Genomic DNA, 23,822 nt, shown 5'->3' with positions numbered 1-23,822 from the left:
CGGTCTAGGACCCAGAGGATAGGCTGGCCATGGCAGGTGTGACCTCCCCAGCCTGCCTTTCTGTCCTGGGTCTGGGGTCCAGGCCCTGCCCAGAGCGCTCTGATGGATGGCAGCCGCCTTGGCAAGGCTGTCTGAAAACCCTGTCCCGTGTGGCCTGGGCTGCACCACCTCCCAGGCTCACAGGCGGAAGGCGAGCAGTTGGTAATGACAAGGATCACGGCAATGCCATTCACAGGAGAAAGCAAGTGAGCGAGCTGCCGTTCCTGAGCCTGTCGCCCACAGTGGAATGCAAGGCACAGACACCAGTCACTTTGTCTCAGTAAATATGGAAGTGGGATGTTAGGGTCCAGATTTGTTGGTTTATCCAAACCTTCACCCTCCTCTGCTAGGCAGGGCTGTTGGACCTGCAGGCCAGAGGAGCAGCCAGCATCACAGCCAGCCGACCCTCCAGCCAGCTGCCCTTTCTCTTCCCCTCACCCAAGGCTTAAGCCCAGTCCTGATATTGTCCCAAACTGGGCTCACTCGTGTCAGCCCCAACAGGTGACACGAGCCTCAGAGCCCAGGTGCTCATGTCAAGATGGGGCAGAGAAGGGTTGTACAGTCCCCTCCCAGCAGGGCACCTTGCTGCAAAACTTCGCATTTGCCGAGACCCCCGTCTCCATGCATGTCCTCCTGCTCCTGCCGCCAAAGTGGGGAGGTGAGGTTCGAGTGTCCTGTGAATAAATCCTTGGCTTCCATCACCGGGAGGAGGCAGTGCGAGTGGAGCAAAGCTGCGAGTGGACGTGTCATATCAGGAAGGCGGCCGTACCTTGTGTCCCGCCTACCTGTCCTGCAGCTGCCACCTCCCCACCACGGGGTGCTGTGGCACGAGGGCCCAGTGCAGATGAGAATGTCCCAGCAGAAAGCTGGGGACCAGAGGCCTGTGTAGGGCACTGTGGCACTGGCTGCAGCCCAGCTGCAGGGGTGGCTTTGCCCTTTGCCCCTGGCCATGGGATCCCTGCTTTCAGGTGCACAGGCCCCCTTCTCTGCAGAGCTTCCTGCTGTTCTCCAGGCTCACTCAGCGGGACAAAGCTGGCATTCCTCTGTCCATCTGCAGGAACTCGAGGTGCACCCCTCTTTCCCTCTTTATCCTCCCTGGGTGAGTGGGTGGGGCAGAGGAACTAAAATGTTTTCCTTCGAATCCAGAATTAGCAAAGGTTCGCTCTTTCTCTTTGGATCTCACTTTATATCTTTCATTTACTTGCCTTTTTTTTTTTTTTTTTTTTTGCTTATTTATTAGAATCAATCTGATTACCATAGTGGGCTGGGCTGTTGGAATATTGTCTGGGATTAAATCAAGTCTGTTCTCCCATGCTGCCCCACACCCTGGATTAAATGCCAGTGCCCACCACCAGCTGCGAGGGGATGGAGAGATGCCTTGTAACAATCTAGCTTCTCTTGTGGATGATGGTCTAGCTGTGCTGCCTTTGTCAGAAGCAGCCTGTTTTTGTGTTCTGAGGTTTTTCATGTGTGGTGTTTTTTTTTTGAGACTGGGTCTCACTTTGTCACCTAAGCTGGAGTGCAGTGAAGCCATCACTGCAGCCTTGACCTCCCAGGCTCAAAATCCTCTCACCTCAGCCTCCCAAGTAGCTGGGACTACAGGTGCGCACCACCATGCCTGGATAAGTTTTGCAATGTTTTTGTAGAGACGGGGTTTCACTGTGTTTCCCAGGCTGGTCTGGAACTCCTGGGCTGAAGCGATCCGCCCACCGCGCCCGGCTGCAGCCTGTTTTAAAGATGAGAATAGTGAGCCTTCTCTGTATGCCCGACCTGACTGAGCCTAGAAGAAGGGAGGCAACCATGAAGCCCCTGGACTCTGAAAGTACTGAATTTCAGGACACCCTGAGCCAGGCTGCCTCCATAGGTCCAAGCACGTTTGCAAGTATTGATTTTGGAAACTCCTCCTAGAAACAATAAGGGAAGGTCAGAGAATGAAAAAAGATGCGTCTGTGAATAAAATAACTGACTTAAATTAATTTCAAATGCCAATAATAATAATAATTTCAAAGGCCAAAGCCCTGCAAGTGAATCACGCAGGGAGGAAGATGTGGAAACTCTGCTTCTGAGGTTGGTTCCCAGCAGAGGTCATGCAGGAAACTTGGGGCATAATACAACAGGGTTTAAAAATACACTACGAGGGGAAGGGTGATGAAATGATCCTCTCGCTCGCAGAACGGTGCTAGGGGAGACCCAGCTCCACCCGCAACAGTGGCTTGGTGTTGCAGCAGGCATTCTTGTATTCCTCTGAGCACACCGACAGCAGCCCTGGGGAAGCGGGGGGTGCAGATGTGCAGGTTTTAATTTTATTCCTTTTCCCTCCAGTGATGAACAGCTGTATGCTCATCTGGACTCATTCAGACAAGCAATTTAGGACTGACCTCTAGTCTTAGACCCTTTGGGGAATAATCGAGTTGTAACTCATTGTGTAGAATATCGATATGTAAACACGTGGAGATTCCAGGAACACCGCCAGGGATCTGCAGAGCGGCCTCTGAAGTTTCACGGGCTTTTCCATTGACTCCAGCCACTGCTTCTTCAGTGGCTCTTCCTCCCTTTCACTGTGACCAGATGCCTTTTCTCTTCATTCTTTACTTATGAATTGGACAGTAAGTCTGAATTAATTTCACAAGATTCATAGCTTCTTTTATGCTGCAGAAAAGCCCAGGGCAAAGAATAAGAAGAAAGACATTCATGTGTTTATTCATTCAACAAACATCTTTGCCGGCATAGCGTGGGAGGAGGTCACCAGACCCTTCTCCTGGGAGTTTCCCTCCCTTCTGAGTGCCACAGATCCTCCCTGAAATGTGTGGCCGTAGAGCCGCCGTTGCCTCCATGACTTAGCAGTTCTCTGCTTCCTTTGCAGGGGCCCTGGCCTCCAGTCTGAGTGCTGACCTCGAAGAGCCCCTGAGTGAGGAGGAGACAGAACACCCTCTCCTGCCTCTGCCCCGAGCCACTAAACCCAGAATCTCCAGGAAATTTCGTTGCTGTACTAGTGCCCTCAGCAGGTCTTCCCATTAGTGGACTTCTGAAGCCCATGGTGAATCCCACTACCGTGTCTCAGATGGGACTCAAACTAGGCTGTATCATCTTGTCCTGAAACCTCACAAACCTTGGACTTCCAAAGAAGAAAAGAAAAAGTCACCAAAAACCAGAGATGAACCCACTGACACGTGGGCACTGGTGTGGCTGCTCTGGGCAGATGACAGCAGGAAAAGATTCTGCGCTTTCAGGGAGGGGGCAGAGGGCAGCTTGCTTCTGCACCCCAAGTTGTTTCTTCTCATTTATGAACCCAAGCATGATTCACAAAGGGGCTGGCAAAACAATTGTCTAATTGAGGAATCTGATCTGCATTGATTTTGCTAGTTCCTTTTATGTTAGGATTTATGGTTTACTCAAAAATTTCATCATCATGGAAATTGGCTTTCCCCGGGGTCTTTTGCCCAGGAGAAGTTTTACCTCAGTTGTCCAGTGTTTTCCCACATGGTACCTGACGCCCGCTAACTAAGCAGAGGCTCTCCTCACCACGCAGAGGCGCTTCAGGTCATGACAGTGATGCCCCTATCTTAGAACACTCAGAAGATTCCAGAAATACAGGGTCCTGTCCTTGCATAAGTTCCTGCAGGACAGGAAGTGTCCCAAGGCTCAAAACAACACAGACCACATCCACACAAAAGGCGCATGCCGGCTTCAGGCGCTAGGCTGAGACGGGTACCCCCCGAATGGCCTTGTGCCTCCAAAAGCCTCACGCTGCAACTTTGCTGCTCCTGTCTGTTGCCCAGAGAGGCCTCACACAGGCCTCAGAAATGTTTCTTGTCACACAAAGCTTTTGGTAGCCGATTCCAAGCGAGGGATTTAATCCTTACATTTTTGCCCATTTGGCTCCAAGGAAGGCTTATTAGACCTGTTTTTTTGTTGTTGTTGTTTTTTTTTCTTAAAAACAAAATGAATGAATGAATGAAAAGAGAAGCAATGGTGAGCCCTCTCCTGCTGGGGCGCCCTGGGTGGGCCTTGCCCGTCCTGCAGCAGAGAAATCAGTCAGCAGCGAAGAGCTGCTGGCGCAGGCCCCAGGCTGTGTCCTGGACCCTTGACCTGCCTCAGAGCTAGAGGTTTGCTCCACCCCGCACTTCACTTGGGAAGTAAATCCAAGAAGCTTACCAGAGTCCATCGCCACTGCGCAGGCTTTGTTCTCACAGCGGCCAGGTACAGAGCAACGCCCTGCAGTGGGAAGGGACAGCAGCACGAGAGACGCAGCCCCTAACTCAGGGCTTATGATGGGTGGGCTGGTCCTGGGAAAGGCGGGCCCTGTGCGGGAGGCCTCCCCACCTTCCTGTGCCCTCTGCCCTCTGCCCTTGCACACACTTGTTACCTTCAGGCTGCTTGGCCACCCAGGCCTGAAGAAGCCTTCTGAGGCTCTCACCCCATCAGAACGGCCATTTTCACTGAGGAGCCAGTTTTTTCCATTTGCCATGGAGCTGGTTTGGCTGGAACCTGGCCTTTGTAGGGAAAACGGGGAGACTCAGGAGCCAGACTCACTCTTGGGACAAATGAGAAAGAGCTGAGCCAGTCGTTCCTGTCGGAAGGGCGGGCCTGCTCATCCTGGCGAGAATTTGCTTTTCTGCTTTATAGGGGATTGCAGGCCAGGCCCACTGACAGGAGCACCTTGAGAACCACCTGAACAGAAGAGAATGAGGGTGCCCCAAAGTGGAAGGAAGCTTCTGGCCCCTGGGCCGTTTTGGGAAGGGCCCAGGATACTCACGGGGGCTGAAGGGCAATGTGAAGAGTGACTGCAAGTCCTGGCATTTTCTGTGGTGTCAGCAAATGCCCCTTTATTTTAAATGATTCCAGACATCTGGGCAGCATAGCTTGGCCACCATCACTCAGGCTTGATCCTGCTGTTGAGCTGCTCCTGTCTCCTGTTTACCTCACTCCTGTTGGGAAGGCCATCGCATGCTCCTAGGCTCCAGAGTCCCCTGTAGGTCTCTACCAGCAGGTCGCCTCTGGGAGAACGTTTCATCTTCAGGCTCTAGAAACTCCTGTTGCGGAATTGCTGGCTTTAGTAGAAAAGATATGTCAGGATTTAGAAATCGTATTGAACTCTCCTGGACTTCTGCTCCATGATTTCATTTTGCTTTCACGAACCAGCGATCCCTACCTTGGGGTGGGAAATTCAATTGTAGGCAGCAAATAACTCAACCCTCCTGTAACCCCTGAGGATTATAACGACCCCATGACCCCCGATGACAGCCAGCAGTTTGGTGACTAGAGTTTTTTGAGCCTGCCATTCTCAGTAGCAGCTTTGGTCTGGAGATGGAACGTGGAGCAGGGAATCTGACAGCCACGTTTCTCGTGATCACGTGGACTGGAGTTGTTTTTGTTATCTGGGGTGGAAAATTGCAATGATCAAGTTTCTTTTTTATTTTTTTTTTACTTAGAAAAGCAAATATTGTGTTTTTGTAATAAATCCCTTTCAGCAAAATTGCGGAGGATCATTCATCCACTAGGGCCCCACCTGAGGCACAGCGCTGACTCATCACGGTGGTACCAGTAGGTCAGCCATCTGGAAACAGAAGTGGCCCTAATTGGGCCAAAATGTGGTAAGACTCGCTGGCCTCAGGCAGGGCCAGGCCAGTTCCCTCACTTCTCTGCACACCTATTCCCAGATTCCATCCAGAGCAAAGCTGATGTTTATCGTCTCATTGTACTTAGGCTTTCGTACTTTAAAAAATTATGACTTTTTAAAAATAAGCCTTCAGCAGACAGAAGTGAAGAAATTTAGCCTGGGTTGCCTCAGCAACAAAGTCTGCGGTTCCTAAGAGCCACATGTTGGGGAAGTGGGGTGACCCAAACTTGGTGACATAGGTTGATTGATCAGACCCTCAGCCTTACAAGCAAGAGCTCATGCAGATCCACAGAGCCATGCACATCCTGTCTTCCTGACCTTCCTCAGGTGGCACCACCTGCGCCCCATGGACCTGCTGTATCGGTGTCATGTGGAGGTCTGATGAATCCTTTAAAACCTAACTGTGATGTCGTAAATGTAACTGTGCTACCTTTATATCTACTGAAGGGCAGCGTCTGCATCCGAGGGAAATTCAACATGAAACAACCATCGTTTTAGTTGCACTCAGTCTGTCCATATGACATACACATGAAGTGAATGTTTCCTTATGTTTTCAGGTCTACAATGTTTAGTACATGTAAATAAGGAAAAAATTTGATAAATATGGTAAATTAAGTTATAGCGTGTCATTTGATTCTTATTTTGCTGTCTCTTGTTATTTAATTTTCCTAATGCTCCACATCTAGGTTCCTTCCTAGGTGGTGGGAACACCTTGCAGACGTGTGTGCACCAGGACACACCGCGGCCCAGGCAGCCACACCGAGAAAGCACACATCTCCACTGATGGCAGCCACCCGACTCTCCAGTTAACCTCTTTTACTCTTTAATTCTGATTTACTGTGATGATTTAATAAAGTGGAAACACAGCACTTCAGTGCTATATGTTTCTCTCATTCTCATTATAGTTTATAAGAAAATAAAGTTCACCCTGGCATCTAATAAAAAGGTGGCTTTCATTTTTATTGGACAGAATTGTGTGAAAGCATATTTTAACCAAAGCCTAAACATGTATCCAAAATGGTAGCTGGTACCAATGCGGGGAAGCTTACCAACATGTTTATGTAAAATTCACCTCGTTTCCTAACATGGAATGCTGAGATCCAGTCACAAGAGGCTCTGAATCCAAGCATCATGGTTCTAATCTACTTAAATCGCTTTCTCTCTTCATGATTAAAGGGCTGGGTCAGTATCACCTGCTACCGCAACGTCCATCCGAGCCCACAATGAGCTGTGCCCCTTGCTCCGTCTCTCTCCAGGGCAGCCCCCATACGAGCCACCCTTCTAGCGGTCAGGAGCCCCTATCCCTGATGAGCAGGAGACAGCCTTAGAGGGCTTGTCTGTGTGAGTAAGTGATAGACAGGGTGTGGTAACAGTCCCCTGGTGGTATGGCTGAAGCCGGGCTGATGCCCCCGTCTAAAGACCCCAGCCTTCGCATGACAGCCTGGCCAGGTGGCCTCTGCCAGCATCGTGGGCTACTCATGGGCTAGGCAGCAGTGACCTTTCAGGACATTGTATTAGAAGTCTGTAAAAATCATCCATTTGTCCAGTTAGCAAATATTTTGAGTACCTAATACTTACAAAACATGGCTGTGACCTCACAAATGGTCTGGATGCCTTCCTGGGAGTCAGGCAGACCCTAAATTCAATGTTTAGCTTTTCACTGATAACAAGAGCTTGCTTGATGGTACGTCCTGCTTCTAATACTTGGTACCTCATCACATGAAGCTTGTTGTGGAGTTTTAGAGCTTTGTGGCTTGGACACAGTGGGTCCCAGCCTGTGCGTCAGCAGCGTTGAAGAATCTGTGTAAGTCAAATGCAGGTTCCTGTCTGCTACAGACTCTGACCCACCAGGTCTGGGCTAGAACCTCAGCATCTCCACTTTTTAAAGCTACCCAGAGGACGCTGACCTACAGGTAGATCTGGGCCAGCCCCATCAGCGATGGTCTGGGCAGCATTCATCCCCTGCCTGCGCTGAGGGAACATCAGAGACCACTACCTGCAGGACAGCTCTTTGCTCTACAGCTGCTCCTAGGAGCTGCGTTTCTGCCACTCACTAATGACTCGGCGTCATAGGTGGCCCTCAGGACTCCCTGGATAATCTCCCTGGAGATGCCCCCGCCCTGGATAATTCAGGGATACTTCTCAGATATGGACATGGTTATTTGAAATTCAAAGGATATTGTTCTCAAAGTCTTAAACAGTTTACTTTTTTATATCTTTGTTTTTGTTTTCACCAAATCGTTTTCTCTGCCACACATTTTATTTCTTGCAGAATGATGAGAGGGTGGGGAGACATTCTGGTCCATCATGCCTCCTGTAAGTGATCAGGTCACCTTAAAAAAGTACTCATCAAATCTTGGGCCATATTAGGCCAAACCTTCAGCAGAATTCCAAAGAACAATCCAACTTCCAGTGCTTCCAAAAGGACCATTGTTACAAGGCCCTGACAGGTCTTTTGGGGCTTCTGCTAGGTGCCAGAATTGAAAGACTATTTTTAAGGTACACCTAACCATAGTCAGTGCTTCCAAAAGGACCATTGTTACAAGACCCTGATAGGTCTTTTGGGGCTTCTGCTAGGTACCAGAATTGAAAGAAAGAATATTTTTAAGGTACACCTAACCATAGTCAAGTGGTCTTGACTATGTCTAAGTGTTTCAGAAAAAAAAGCGCCAGTTATTTATGCCTCCTGCAGTGAAGCGTGTCTTCCAGCGAGAGGCTCACACACTGATATTTGTTCACTTCAGTACACATTCAAGCTAGCATTATGGTGCCGTGTATGTGCAGAAACTAAATTGAGGCCACTTTGGTTTATTAAACCGTTTATGTCAAGGGACACTAATCATTTGCTCTTTTGTCTATATCTGGAAATGGTTTTAGTTGCATTTTGTTTTTCAAACCAAAAAGTGAAGGCCGTGGAAATGGAGCACAAAGTAAACTTTGTCCCTGCATATTTGGTTTACTCAAGGCACGGATCTACAGCTGGAAAGGTCGCCCCCACCCCCACAATCTGACCACCTTCTACAGGTATGAAAACTGAGGCCGGAAGACGTTGGCTCACTGAGATTCACAAGGTCAGAAAGTGAGGCTCCAGGCAGGAGATGAGTTTCTGGGTTCCCACTTCTTTTTTTTTTTTTTTTTTTTTTCTGAGACGAAGTCTCACTCTGTCGCCCGGGCTGGAGTGCTGTGGCAGGATCTCGGCTCACCGCAAGCTCCGCCTCCCGGATTCACGCCATTCTCCTGCCTCAGCCTCCCGAGCAGCTGGGACTAGAGGCGCCCGCCACCGCGCCAGGCTAATTTTTTTGTATTTTTAGTAGAGACGGGGTTTCACTGTGTTAGCCAGGAAGGTGTCGATCTCCTGACCTCGTGATCCACCCACCTCGGCCTCCCAAAGTGCTGGGATCACAGGCGTGAGCCACCGCGCCCGGCCGGTTCCCACTTCTTGATGTCACCCCCACTTAGCAGCAATCACCGTTCTTCACCAGTGCATGGACTGTTTGTTGAAAATGTAGTTTCCACGTGCATTTTTGGTCACTGTAAAGGTCCCCTAATGCCAAGGCTTAGGCCACCCTGACCCTGCTGTCATAGGGACCAGGCACAACACAGACCAAGGGCTTGGAGTGTGGGAGAACCTGTTTTAACAAGAGACTTACCTACTCTCCCTACACGCAGAGACGAAAACGCTGGAGTTAACCTCTCTCTGGCTCCAGAAGCCATGGACTGGAACCTCTGGAAAGAAAAATTGCTCGTCTTCAACTCTGAAAAATAGACTTTGAGGTAAGAGCAGGTAGCCAAAGCAGGTTTTTCATGCTTGATGTGATGCCCAGGCAGGTCGGCCACGCTCTGGAAGACCATGGTCTGCTCTCTGCACTCAGACATCCACACGTTTACCAAGCACTTGCTACATACAGTTTGGCCAAAATTGTCTCGTTTCTCTCCTGAAAATGTTTTCTGTTTCGGGAGTTTGAGACAATAAAGACATATCAATGTCCTTCCATGCCACAAGAACCACCTTGAGTGGAGTAGAATGAGACTCACTTCCGAAACCGAGGTCTGTTCTTAGTCTGCTGCAGATTCAACCGCACTTTCACCCGCAGAGAACAGCCGGCAGCCCAGCTAGGCAGTGCATTTCAAACAGCAGTGATACCCTCTCTGCCCTCGAGGTGCTCTCAGATCTGCCCCCAACACACACAAACAGCAGTGATAAAAACAGCAGGAACTCTCCAAAATGACACTCTTTCTGAATAATGAGAAAAAAATAGCTGGAATTGGCGATTGCTTCATTTTTGTCATTGTTAGAATTTTAAGTTATAAGTATTTTAATACCTAAGTGTCCTAAGTTGGACAAGATGGGGGCAGCGAGACATTTATAATAAGCTGTCACATCAGGCAGTATTTGTCTGGAAGATCTTGTGTTTCACAGAATGAGAGTGAGAAAGTAGGTCCCAGCTAGCATCCTCCCTCCGTACCATGTCAGACATGGACAGCGCTGATCGGATTGTTGTTGTCGTTGTTGCTATTTATATATCAAGATATTCCTACCTCAGATATCAGAGAGCATTACGTATGTGGTCAAAATTCTATTCAAACATTATTTTAGGAAAGAAAGAATAAATGCATAAATTATCTCTGGGACAAGAGGGCACTTTTTTATGTGTCAGGTGTCATTGCTAATCTTCCATTTATGTTCCCCCCACCCCCGTGAAAATGCTTGTTGAGTTTGACAAGGAATATTTTCCATGAAGAGGTCAGAGCCCTCGGCTTCCTCCTTGGCGTGGGGTCCTCAGGGCCTGGAAATTGGAGTGTGCTTCTCACTGAGGGCGTGAGGTGGGAAGGGGCTTGCTATTATAGATCCTGAAAGGATCTTTTTGACTTTAGAAAATAGCCTGGCAAAGAAAAGCTTTTTTCCGTGAATACTCAGGGACTGCATTATGCCCCTCAGATGATAGAGGAGAGTACTTTTGATCAATATTCCCTAAGAAATGGCCGCTGGGCTAAGTGCAGAGGGCCTCAATAGCAGTCTCCCTCCCGCCCGACCTGCAGAGCGCCTGCGGCAAATGTCTCGGAGCAGTGGGAACCAGCAAGGGCGGTACATTAATGGTATCATCTTCTCCTTTTAAAAAAATGTCACCCCATTTTGTCCTCCATGTTGATGGCTGATTATGGGCCCAGTGGAAACAGTTATTTCTATAGCTTTCTTTGGGGAAATCTTGGATCTTCGTTTCAGGCACCAGGAAAAGTGACCCCCTGGAACAGTTTCAACCTAAAGGCGAGAGTAAAATGCTGGTGGGAAAACTCACATCAGGAGCTTCTTTTAATCAAGGAAGGTTTTTTTTTTCTTTTTTTTACTAATGATCAAGATTTTAATGAAATAGCCAAAGTACAAATTTGTATATTACATCGGGTGTTCTATACTTTTTTCTCTTAAAAATAATGATCTGCCTCTATTCCAACCCCCATCTCCCTAAGACTGATAAGCAGGTTATTCAAAAGAACATTCTCAGCTGGGAGCAGTGGCTCATGCCTGAATCCTGCATTTTGGGAGGCTAAAGCGGATGGATCACTTGAGGTCAGGAGTTCGAGACCAGCCTGGCCAACATGGTGAAACTGTCTCTACTAAAAATACAAAAATTAGCAGGGCGTGGTGGCTCATGCCTGTAGTCCCAACTACTCGGGACGCTGAGGCAGGAGAATCGCTCAAACCCGGGAGGCGGAGGTTGCGGTGAGCTGAGACTGCACCACTGCATTCCAGCCCGGGTGACAGAGTGAAACTCTGTCTCCAAAAAAAAAAAAAGGAACATTCTTTCCAGATTAATGCAAAGACATAGAAATAGCATCATACAATACACATTATTCTACAACATCCTTGTTAAACTTTACAGTGTCATAGGCACCCCTCCATCTAGTTTATCATTTTCCGTAGTTGCATTTTATTCCTTAATACAGATGTACCTTAATTTACTCAGCCCATCTGTGCATTAAGGTGGCTTCCAGTGTTTGTCATAACAAAGACACCTGTAATAAACACCAGCACGCCTATATCCTGACACACTGCTGCTTTTATTTCTGTATGATAAATTTCCAAAAAAAAATGAAATTACTGAGTCAGAGAGTATATGTCATTGTTATGGACTGAATGTTTGTGTCTTCCCGAAACCCATATGTTGAAGCCCTAACCCCCAGTGTTTACTAGGAGGTGGGATCTTTGGGAAGTGACTGGGTTGCGATGAGGTCCTGGGGATGGGGTCTCCATGGTGGGATTAGTGCTCTTAGAAGAAGAGAGACCAGAGCTTCTCTCTCTCTGCCATGTGAGGACACAGGGAGGAGGCTGCTGTCTGCAAGCCAGGAAGGAGGTCTTCACTGGAGAACCAAATCAGCCCACTCCTTGATCTTAGACTTTCCAGCCTCCAGAACTGTGAAAGATAAATTCCTGTTGTTCACGCCATTCCTATTATTTTAAGTTTAAGCCACTCAGTCTATGGTATTTTGTTAACGGCAGCACAAGCTAACTGAGACAGTCATTATAGTCCTAATAGATTGATTATTTGACCACTTTTGAATTCTATAAAGTCGGTTTTGGAGTTATATTTAAAAATGAAGCTAGGACCCATGTTTTCCCATGTTTGTATAGGATAACTCAGTAAATTACCCAACAGCTTAAGAAAAGAAAAGAAAAATTTTAAGGGGCACCCAGGAAAAAGGCATAATTTCAGCCATGACAAAACGAGGCATTTGTTGACCAAAGTGAGGACTCCCAATCAGTGTGCCCACACCGTATGTCTTTTCATGATAATGTTCCAAAGAATTTCTCAATTTTGAAGAAATTTTTGAAAATACTAACATAAATGCATCAAAATACACCACAAATTCACCTTGTGTCATAGATTGGAGAGGAACGTGGTCCTAGGAATCAGTGTTGGCTTCCGATTCCACCTGCACACACTCTTGAGCGGCCATTCCCTAGTCATTCTGGCTCATTTCCTCACCTGGGACTTGGGGCGATAGTACTGATTGTGGTAGCCAACCTCAAGGATTGCCCCAGCAATCATCACCTCCTGGAATTCATACCTATGCGTGGTCCTTTACATGCTGATTCAGAGATGACCTGTGGGACCAATGGAACTCAGCAAAAGTGATATATCTTCCAAGATTAGTCATAAAGGTATTACAGTTTCCACTTTGGTCTCCTGGATGGCTTGCTTTGGAGAGAGCCACCATGCTGTCAGGACACTCAAGCAGTGCTATAGAGACCAGCATCCATGTGAGGGAGCCATCTTGGAAATAGATCCTCCAGCCCCAATCAACCCTTCACTTGACTGCAGCCCCAGTGGAAAACTCAGTGTAACTTCATGAAGGACCCCAAGCCAGAACCACCAAGCCAGGCTGCTACTGAATTCCTGACCCACACAAATAATTAGATATAATAAATCTCTGTTGTTGTTGTAAATGCTCAGTTTTGGGGAGATCTGTTGTTACACAGTCATAGTGCTTGGGACATTGACCTAATGGTTGTTTTCAAGACAATGTACAGAAGGCATTTACATACAACAGTGCATTCTACTAGTGAACCGAGACCACCTCATTTTGTGGAGGGCTACATCAAGGAGCCAGACACCTGGGTTCTGCTCTCTATGTCTTAGATGAAGAGCCTTCTGATTGAGGGCAAGGCATTCAACATTCAGACTTTTCTTAATATACAAATCAATGAATCATAATCTATAAAGGATTGTTGTGAAGGCCAAATGGAAAAATTCACATGCAGGCCGGGCATAGTGGCTCACGCATGTAATCCTAACACTGTAGGAGGCCAAGGTGGGAGAATCACCTGAGCCCGGCGGTTCGAGACCAGCCTGGGCAACAAAGTGAGACCCCCCCCACCCATCGCTACAAAAAATAAAACATTAGCTGGGCATGGTGGTACGTACCTGTGGTCCCAGCTGTAGGGGAGGCTGAGGTGGGAGGATTGCTTGAGGCCCAGAGGTCAAGGCTACAGTGAACCATGTTCATACCACTGCACTCCAGTCTGGGTGACAGAGTGAGACCCTGGAGCAAAAATAAAAATTCACACTCAGGCAGTCTAAAAGCCAGAGAGCACTGAAAAACTGATATCAGGTGTGTTCCTGATATCAGTTATCTATTGCTAATGAATCAGTAATAAATATCAGTTGTCTATTGCTACATAACAAATCACCCCAAAACTCAGTGGCTAAAAACAACCACTATCATTTTATTACAGTCTCACACAGCTCTGGGGGGTGAGCAGGCCCAGCTGGGCTGTTCCCACCTGGGCTGTCTCATGCAAATGTTAGGGTAGAGGGGGCTGGCATCATCTTAGGGGCTCACCTGCTCCCCCAAATGTCTGGGGCTTGGTCGTTGACTGAGATCTTAGCTCGGCCTCAGTAGAACACCTAAATGTGGACTCTGTGTGTAGCTTGAGCTTGGCCTTTTCTAGCCTAGTCTCAGAAGTCACACAGTGTCACTTCTACTGCTTTTTATTTGAGAAAGCGTCACAAAGGCCCTCTTAGTTTTGGAGGGGGCAGTGAGGGAGGTAAGACTTCACTTCACAATGGGAGGCATGTCAAAGGGTTTGCAGAAGTGTTTTTAAACCTACACCAGGTGGCATTGAGATTATATACAATTTAAAATCAGTGTTCAGCCGGGTGCAGTGGCTCACACCTGTAATCCCAGCACTTTGGGAGGCCAAGGCGGGTGGATTGCCTGAGGTCAGGAGTTTGAGACCAGCCTGGCCAACATAGTGAAACCCCCATCTCTACCAAAAATACAAAAAATTAGCTGGGCATGGTGGTGGGTACCTGTAATCCCAGCTACTCAGGAGGCTGAGGCAGGAGAATCACTTGGACTCAGGAGGCGGGTGGTTGTAGTGAGCCGAGTTCGTGCCATTACACTCCAGCCTGGGCAACAAGAGTGAAACTCCGCCTCAAAAAAATAAATAAATAAAAAGTAAAATAAAATCAGAATTCACTCCTATCCTTGCAAGGGTAATAAGAGTGAGTTCTCACCAGCACTTGACCTCAGTAACTCATTTAATCTCAACAGTGGCCTTGGGAGACACTTAGTTGCAGACAGCCAAATCCACTTTAGCCAGCTGAAGGAGATAAATAATTTATTAAAGGCTCTTGGCTACCTTGCTTTATGTCCAGGAGGGCCACACAATCAGGCTTTGTGACTAAAAGATCTAGAAACAACACTCAAATTGCCCTGCTAGAGAAGTGCAGTGGCAGCTCACCTTACAACGCTGGGCCTTCACCACAGCCACCTCCAAGAGACAAATGCCTCTGCTCTCCCCTCCCCAGCACTGACTGCACCCAGTGCCACCTCTTTCATGTCTCTCTTCTGGATCCACATCTCAGGGGCACATTTGATGAGTGGTCAGGCACCTCCAATCCGAGTCAGGGTGACCTGACTCCTTTCTGTTGGACATTGGTCTTAATGCACAGCACATTTTCCATTCCCTTACAGCAGAGCCTAGCTGCAAGGGAGGCTGGAAAAGCAAGTTTCTGGATTCTACCTTAAGGAGGCAGAACTCATTGGATAGAGAATTAGCTGAGCATAAGAAGGGTATTCAAAAGGCATGGGGCAGGCAGAAAACATAGTAAATGTCTGCTACAGGTGGGCACTACTCTTTCCTAATTTTATCAGTGAGAAAACAGGCAGAGAGGGTTAATAACTTGCCCATGGCCACCCAAAAATGGTGGCGATGAAATGATGAAAGCAGGCGTTTGTGCTCCAAACCCCTGGCCCCTAACAGCCCCAGCATGCTGGAGAAGGGGCTGGGTTCTTTTGCATGTGAGCACATGAAATCTCACCACGGCGGAAGAGAGAGTGACCTGCTAGGATTATCAAAATCTGTCACTTCCTGAAGCTGAAACATTGGCACTCTCTTTGAGATATAAAATTAAATTTTTAATTGAATCATTTTGTTAAATATTACTAGACTTTGCATCTCAGAGTTAGGGTTTAGGTCCAGCCCATTTGAGTCCCTCTGCTGCCCTGATGTTAAAAGTGGGCAGGGAGAGCCTGAAACCCTGTGCTCAGAGACTTTTCCTTCTGCCACTCATGCTGGTTGCCATGGTTCTGGAATGGCCTATTCAGTTGCTTGCAGGTGTAGAATAGTAAGTGATTTCTACAAACAAGTGCTTTTAGAACCAAAGTGGAAGGTAGAGACCTCAATAGAACGTGGCCTGGGCACGTGGTGGCAGGCGCATGGTGGCGTGCGCCTGTAATCCTAGCTACTCGGGAGGCTGAGGCAGGAGAGTCACTTGAACTGGGGAGGTGGAGGTTGCAGTGAGCCAAGATCGAGCCATTGCACTCCAGCCTGGGTGACAGAGCAAGACTCGGTCTCAAAAAAAAAAAAAAAAAAAAAAAAAAAAAAGAAAAGAAAAAAAGAAAGAAGAAAAAAGAAAAAGAAAAAAAAGAAAGTGGCCCGGGCAAGCTAACTTTCAGCAATATCCTCACTGTGGAGCTGCTTACGACGCCACCATTCACAGTGAATTCTTGCCTCTCTTACAGTTTGCATCTGCAGCACGTTAAAGCAAAGCAAAAAGTGGTGTCGAATCTAGAATCTGCTACGACGCAGATACCAGTGTGAGCCGTAGTTAACATCACGCAGTACTAAATTTACCCAGTTCTCTCGCCAGCATCTGTTATTTGTGTTTGCAAGTTGGGTCATGTAGAAATAACAAGTTTCTCCAATGCGTAAGATAAGAAATAACTGGAAATGATGTTACATTTGGCTTCTCGCTCTCTCTCCCGGATGGGACTTTCAGCCCATTATTTTGGAGTCAAATTGCCAAAGCACAAATCAACTGTTTCACGGTCTGGACTGAGAACCATACATGTTCCTGGGCCACCGTATTGCACTCCCTGCTGTAGGAGCCCCTTGACAAGTAGGTGGAACCAAGGCCCCGGTATTTCACTGTCCATTTGAATTCTCCCACACTGGAGCAATTGCTGCCTTGGAGGTTTCTCTTTATGAACTTTCTTGATCTCAACTAAATTTCCGCACTTTCAGCCCACATCATTTCACAGGGCCTTCCATTTCTTCAGATGTTACACAGGGTAATGACGGCTCCAACCTCTTGGAGGCATTGTGAGAACTCACTGAGTAATTCATATGAAGACCTTGGACCACGCAAAGTTGGTCAGCTAAAGTTGCTGAGTTAAAGTTATCTTCTGTCTTTAACTCAATTTTTAATGAATTGCTACCAAACATCCTTAAAATGTTAATATGAATTTAGTCTGTTAGCATTGTTATGAACCCATCGTGAGTTGGGGTTAGCGTCCCTGGGTTGGTGCCCAAGCCATCAACCCTTCCGAGGCCAAATTTACTGGGGCAACAACTGGGAGAACTTACTCTATGACCAAGACCTCAAATTTTTAACCAGTGCCTGTAAAACATCAACGGACATAGAGATTCCCTGGGGATCCTGTTAAAATACAGATTCTGACTTAGGAGGCCCGAAGCATGGCTGGCACTTCTGCTCCCAGGGGATGTGGACTTACAGGTCCTTGAGCCACACTTTGAGTGGCAGGGCTCTAAATGATACATACTACAGAAGTACAACACGTTGTCCACCAGCACCACTGTAAGGGAGATGCTCATGGGACAGGGTCAGAAACCTGCTTTAGAAAAAAGTTTCAAGTAATGGTTGTGAACCTCTAATCAGAGCAGAATTCTCATTGGTGGACATTGATCTATATCCTCCAAATGCTCAAACGCTAGCACAATTAAAAGAGGTCATCAGTTGCCAGGAAGGTGCTTGTTGCTATTAAATTAACACACTTTTGAAACAATTCAATTCTGAGTTAAAGTTATATTCTGTCTTTAACTCAATTTTTAAGTTAATGTTTACAAAAATCCTTGAAATGTTAGGTTAAGCCATATAAAATTATTGATAGCAAAGTTTTTATTTTTACTTATAAAAACAGCAATGAGCCAAGCACTCACACTTGTAATCCCAGCACTTTGGGAGGCTGAGGCGGGCAGATCACTTGAGGCCAGGAGTTGGAGACCAGCCTGGGCAACATAGTGAAACCCCATCTCTACTAAAAATACAAAAAAAAAAAAAAAAAAAAAAAAGCCAGACGTGGTGGCACACACCTGTAATCCCAGCTACTCAGGAGGCTGAGGCACAAGAATCACTCAAACCTGGGAAGCGGAGGTTGCAGTGAACTGAGATTGTGCCACTGCACTTCAGCCCAGGCAACAGAGTGAGATCCTGTCTCAAAAAAAAAAACAAAAAAAAAAAAACAAAAAAAACAGCAATGTCCTATGGTTCAACCTAAGAGTTGTGACTTCACCTGACAAATTAAACCATCACTGCAGTGAGAAAACAACTTTCAAACCAGGAGATAACCCTCCTGTTCTGTGTAGATTTCTGTGGCTGACTTAACAGATTGTGATTTGTGTGTGTTGTCTGAGAGTTCCTGTAACTGATATGAACAGGAACAATATTAATAAAACTATCTTGGAAGCCGTTTCCAACTTTCAGAAAAACTAGTAAACTTCCTTATTTAAATTATCAGGGCCAGGTGTGGTGGCCCACACCTGTAATCCCAGCACTTTCAGAGGTCAAGGTAGGAAGATTGCTTGAGCCCAGGAGTTCGAGACCAGCCTGGGTAACATAGTGAAACCCCCATCTCTACAGGAAATAAAAATTAGCCAGGCATGGTGGTGTGGACCTGTCATCTCAGCTACTCAGAAGGCTGAGACAAGCGAATCACTTGAGCCCAGGAGATTAAGGCCACAGTAAGCCATGATCATGGCACTGCACTCCAGCCTGGGTGACAGAGTGAGACCCTGTCTCAAAAAAAACAAAAACAAAAACAAAAATCAGGTTAAAAAAACATGGCACCTTGGCCAGGCATGGTGGTTCATGCCTGTAATCCCAGCACTTCAGGGGGTCGAGGCAGGTGGATCACTTGAGGCCAGGAATTCGAGACCAGCCTGGCCATCATGGTGAAACCCCATTTCTACTTAAAAAAAATACAAAAATTAGCCGGATGTAGTGGCACATGCCTGCAGTCCCAGCTACTCAGGAGACTGAGGTGGGAGGGTCACTTGAGCCAGGGAGGCGAAGGTTGCAGTGAGCCAAGATCGCATCACTGCACTCCAGCCTGGGTGACACAGTGAGACTGTCTCAAAAAAAAAAAAAAAAATCCAAAAAACAAAAAACATGGTACCTTAGGCAGTGACACCTGTAAAAACAGTGATACTAAATTTTGCAATTTTCAAGACTTATGAATGCTGAGTGAGTTTATGACGCGCAACACACAACTGAGCAAAGCAGTCTTCATAAGGACAAAATTTCTATCTAATCAAGGGGAGGAATTACTGCACTATTTTATTGTCTATTGCATGATATTTTGTCGGCAAACTTTTTCTATAAAGGGGCGAATAGTAAATATTTTAGGCTTTGAAGGCCACGTGGCCTCTATCATAACTACTAAACTCTGCTGCTGTCGCATGAAAACAGCCATAGAGGCTGAGTATGTGAGTGAACATGGCTATATGCCAATAAAACTTTATTTACAAAAGCAGGCTGGATTGAGCCAGTAGGCCTTAGTTTACCAACCCCTAGTCTAGCCTTTTCTGTTATAATAATAATAATAGAGATTGTGAAATACTGCAATGATGGCAGTAATTCTGGAATCCCAATATAATCTTAGAATGTAAGGTCACATTTACTGCTACAAATAAGTTAAGGTAGGTCTAATATGCATTTAATTGTTTTTTGTCCTTTTTAATCTGAATTACCAAATTTTGAAAATACTGAGGGGAAAACATGGTTTTCTCTGTGATTAACAGAACAAAAAACATAATGTTTCAAAAGACACAATAAAGATCTATTCCAAACGTGAGGAAAACAGAATGTGTTCCTTTATGGTATAAAATATTTGATGAAATCTAACATGATTCTGTTCCAAATTGGGCACCCAGATTTGATTGATCCAGCCGCCTTTGTCCTGGGCAGTCTCAACCTGATCATTCTCATGCGCACCTTTCCTATTGGTTTCTGCCCATCTCCTAATAACAATCTCCTTGTAGCTGTACTCATAAAATGGTAAAGGCTCGTTTTACATACTGTAGTTGATAAATAGCAGTAGAAAAGAACTGCAATCGATTGATGTTACAAGCTTTTAAATGGCAACACTGGACACATGTGTTACAGCCTAACTTCCCCATCCTTTTCTGTTCTTTATGCTGGGAGGAAACTGTAGCCTGATGTTTTTTCCTCCTGTGGAAAGCGCCCTCCTCTAAAACCCACCCTTCCATGCTGTAACGCCTCCTCTGCATCCTATCAGATTTGACACATAATAGCCTCTTGGCTCCCTCTCTTCATCCTGTCACCGTCAGGTGTGACTGTCACCTGGCTGTGGTGTTTGAGAAGGGGGCATTGCATCAGGGCCCTGGTCTTGCACAACAGAGACGAAGCAGATGTTGCATTCAAATAAAAGGCCCTTCTTTGACGAGTGAAAGAGAAGAAGAATGAATTCAGGTTGACGTTGCCAGCATTATTGTCTCCCTGCTGCGCAATGCTTGGTCTGCTGGTTCAAACCACAGGGAAGGAGCAGGGGACGCCTGGGTTCTGATGAAGGGGAGGCAGCTCTGGGAAACTAGAGGCAAATTGTGCAAATAAGCTTCTCATAGACATTGGGGGAGCTGCAGGGCGTGCACATGGCATGCTGGAAACAGGCTCTCAGTAATCATGCCTTTGAATGTGTCCTGCTGGCAGTGAACATTCTGTAAGTTTCGTTTCAATGCGGTGAATGTTGAATGTTCTAAGGATGGTTTGTCTCCGTGGTGTGAGCTTATGCGAGGAACTAGAGAAAAAACGTTAGTGCTGATGCTTGTGTGGAAATACCACCAGGAAGACCACACAGGATAGAAATCTTCAAACAAGACAAACACGAAGGCGATCACCCCAGAACCCATCTGCTCAGCATATACACTGCCAGAAGGAAGCAGCAGGTCCTGGACATTCCACTTTCCAGATGCTACACAGCAAGCCCACAATCCAAGTATGCGGGGTACAAATGATGACGGTAGGGGCTTAAGATACGAAGGAGTGTGTTTGGGTTAGTGAAAACGTGTTAACTGACTCCATATCATATGCTCAAAGGTGCTCTGTGATTCTGAGAAGCATATCAAGCCTTAATAATGACCAAAAAGTAGTTGTGATTGGTAAATTTGTAAGCCAGTTTGATTATCTCATCTAGCTATGAGAAATCAATTCCCTTCACCCCAAAGGTCCATCGCACATCCCTTGCTGGGTTGACCCTTCTCATGAGGCTCTGTGACTTTCAAAACCCAATGTGGCCTGTGTTAATTTCCTCCTGCAGGTCCTCATGAGGGATGTGTCCAAAGAAGCAGGACTCAATCATCTTCAGAAAATCCTCTTGCCTGGGAAGTTGCCCTGATGACACCAAAACCTGTAGCTGGTTGTTTGCAAAAGGTGAGGGGATGTTGAAAAGTATTGATCTGTTTCCTTAGCAGTGTCAGAAGGAGGCTGTAGTTCCCCAGTCCCTAGTCATCGAGATCACTGGGCAAGCAGGTGCCATCCATCTCTGGTCCCTTCTTCCTGAAGAGTCAACATACCTGGCCTCACTTGGAAACCTTAGCTGATGAAGGTGCGAGGGGACACGAGGAACTCTAGGCTGCAGCCCTTCAGAGGATGGTCTTCTGGCTCTGCATGTTTGTGAAGAGTTCTTTATTCTAGGATCACTGGGCTCTTGGGGGACTTGTGACCAGGTCTCCTTAAGTTATAGAGCCACCTCCACTGCTGAACTTGTCTTTGTGTTGCTGATGTGCCTGCTAGTGACAATTGCCATATTAGAACCCAGGAGTCATGAGTTCACCAGACTTTCCCTATGAGTATTGGTCATTTAATGTTGCAGGCAGGCAGTAGAGAAACGATGTTTCTCCAATAGATATGATGGGATGGAACTTGAAGATGCCTTCAGCTGCTATCTTTCCCGCCTGGGTGGGATTTTGGGGCTATTTGGGGTTGTGTTGCCAAAAGACCCATGAGATGTTTCCATCATTGAAGATGAGAAGCTGAGTGTCTTTAGGTCGCCACTTTGAACTCCCCGCTTTGGTACCTCCTTGACGATTAAATGGAATCAAGATCCCTGCATGTTGCTATTCAGTTGGTTCTCACACTGGTATGTTTTGCCACCTGTGGATTTCTCTCTACAACTCAGTTTCCTCTTCGATCTCTAAATTCCATCGTCTGTAACTTTAACTACCAGAGCATTACAAATTCCTTTAGTCTGACCATCAAAGAACCGTAACTAATTCTAGCTCTGTAAGAAGCTAACTGGGGGACTCATCTTATCCCATATATGATTCCATAGACTTCGCCTTGGGTCTATTTGCCAGAAAATTTTTCTACAAGACCTGAATGTCCGTTCTGCAAAAAGCAAGTTTCGCTCAAAGTAACCCTGCCACAGGCCAGTGGGTATGTAACGAATCCTCAATGCCATGGAACAGTACTTCTGGCAAAGAGGAGTGCCCCTGTCTAAGCGAAAAATGCAGGTCCCTCTGGGCTCCTCACTGCCCTTCATCTCCTGGGCTCAGGAATCTTTCCCAAATGTCCCACAAAGGCTCCAGAGACCCTCAGGGCATCTGCCAGGAGTATGATCTCTGGTTTACAGATGAGGAGACTGACGCTTTCAGGAAGTCAACTGACTCAACTTCAGAAAGCCCAACCTTATATGAGGCCCCTGTCTCTTTTGCAAGACAGTTGATACATGAAGAATTCCTGTAGTGTTATCAGGTCACTCAGGGTGGTTAGGAGACGCTTCTGCTTTGTTTTGAAGACTCTGTGGATGGCTGTGGAGTTCAGCCCAACTGGGGGAGGAGATAGCTACTCACAGAGCAAAGGGAAGCTGATGAGAAATGTCACACCCTCCTCGGCAGCATCTGGGCACGGACGTGCTAGGCGCATCCACCTGTGGCTAGTGTTGCCCTGGCCGATGTTGCACACCCAGGTCTCTGCAGGACCCCAACATGCCGACAGGTGCCCTTGTGCAGCTGGAGTCCAGCCAGGCTCCTGGCTTCATTTCTGCTCTGCAAGATCTGGGTACTCCCAGATTGAACCCAGTGACAGGCCCAGGATCAGCTGAAAGGTGCGATCACTTAGTCCATGGTGCTACACAGAAGGAAGGCGTGCCTCGAAGCACAGGCCTCCGAGTGAGTCACACAAGTCAAACTCTTGCCAGTACAACGTGCCTGCTCCGAGGGCGGCAAGAACCCCAGCGTTTCCAGGCCTCCAGGGAAAAAGCAAAGCAGGCAACAGGGGAAGCTGCTTCGAGAGGACATAGTAACTCTGGAGAAAGGGCTCAACCAGCGTGGCGTGCAGCTGTTCTAGCCACAGGCTCATTGTGGAACCAAAGGAATGCTGAACAGCCTTTTGCTTTTTATTATACCACATTTGTATGGAAGTAGAGAAGGGTGAAGGCACTGGCAAAAATCAAATCTCTTCCTTTATTTCTTCCCTCTTTTAGCTCCTCCCTCCTTAACCTTACTACTTTTCCTGACCCCCTGGGCCTCTCACCACCAAATCCTTGCTGTGGGATGGTAGGGAATTCTCGGGCAGTTTCCACGGATGGCCTTCCCAGCTTGCAGCAGCCCCAGAACACACGGAATGCCTACAGCCTCCTTCACAGATTTGTTAAAAAGTGTGTGCGTTTCAACGTGATGTTCTCGAATGGGAACCTTGTGAACGTATTATCCAGGGAGGCAAGCAAAAGGGGAGAGAGCCTGATTCCCTTCCTATATTCTGCTAACTCATATTGTGTTACCGTGATAAAAATTGACCAAGTTTTTCTATTTCTACGCTGTTTCATTGCCTTCAACTCCATTTACTATACAGTTTCATTTAATATCTCACATAGATGTTTCGGGTTCCATTTATTCCATTGAAATAAATTTATACAGGGGATGAAGGAACATGTTTGTGAACAACCAAATTATATTTACCCTCATGAAGGTGGATCTTAGATGAATTCATGTTTTTGTGATTACAGACGAGAACCACAGTGAGCCCAACATAGTTACAAGCTACCATTCCTGCAGACGAGTCTGGACTCCCCATGTGCGGCCAATCTTCCAGTTTTTAAGGAAACTTTATTGCCACAGAAC

The 23,822-nt window shown here is 46.8% G+C and overlaps 1 protein-coding gene across 13 annotated transcripts in view, besides 3 other annotated features; it reads left to right on the top strand.

Annotated features, from left to right (window-relative positions):
• RALGAPA2 (Ral GTPase activating protein catalytic subunit alpha 2) overlaps positions 1-6,626 on the top strand; it is a 323,115-nt gene extending 316,489 nt beyond the window's left edge. For 9 of the 13 annotated variants that reach the window (XM_011529310.3, XM_005260768.3, NM_020343.4 and 6 more), the window contains one exon: positions 2,903-6,626. In XM_011529310.3, the coding sequence (XP_011527612.1) occupies positions 2,903-3,057 (155 nt within the window). In that variant the 3' untranslated portion in view covers positions 3,058-6,626. Of the gene's footprint in view, positions 1-1,007; positions 2,646-2,902 lie in introns of all 13 variants that reach the window. The other 4 variants (XR_007067471.1, XR_001754352.2, XR_007067470.1 and 1 more) reach the window with 3 other exon arrangements.
• Positions 284-827: an enhancer, noted in NCBI's record as "H3K4me1 hESC enhancer chr20:20375973-20376516 (GRCh37/hg19 assembly coordinates)". NCBI's record gives its function as "activates a minimal SCP1, AML or CMV promoter by ChIP-STARR-seq in naive and primed H9 embryonic stem cells {active_cell/tissue: H9 hESC(naive and primed)}" and the evidence as "EXISTENCE:reporter gene assay evidence [ECO:0000049][PMID:30033119]".
• Positions 828-1,372: an enhancer, noted in NCBI's record as "H3K4me1 hESC enhancer chr20:20375428-20375972 (GRCh37/hg19 assembly coordinates)". NCBI's record gives its function as "activates a minimal SCP1, AML or CMV promoter by ChIP-STARR-seq in naive H9 embryonic stem cells {active_cell/tissue: H9 hESC(naive)}" and the evidence as "EXISTENCE:reporter gene assay evidence [ECO:0000049][PMID:30033119]".
• Positions 2,167-3,366: an enhancer, noted in NCBI's record as "CDK7 strongly-dependent group 2 enhancer chr20:20373434-20374633 (GRCh37/hg19 assembly coordinates)". NCBI's record gives its function as "activates an origin of replication core promoter dependent on BRD2, BRD4, P300/CBP, MED14 and CDK7 cofactors, with strong dependence on CDK7, by STARR-seq in HCT116 cells {active_cell/tissue: HCT116}" and the evidence as "EXISTENCE:reporter gene assay evidence [ECO:0000049][PMID:35650434]".
• Positions 6,627-23,822: the final 17,196 nt, after the last annotated feature.

The sequence above is a fragment of the Homo sapiens genome, chromosome 20 (assembly GCF_000001405.40).
Source record: "Homo sapiens chromosome 20, GRCh38.p14 Primary Assembly".
NCBI classification, from domain to species: Eukaryota; Metazoa; Chordata; class Mammalia; order Primates; family Hominidae; genus Homo; species Homo sapiens.
Note: the sequence above shows the minus strand (reverse complement) of the source record. Positions and strands in the feature narration are given on the sequence as shown.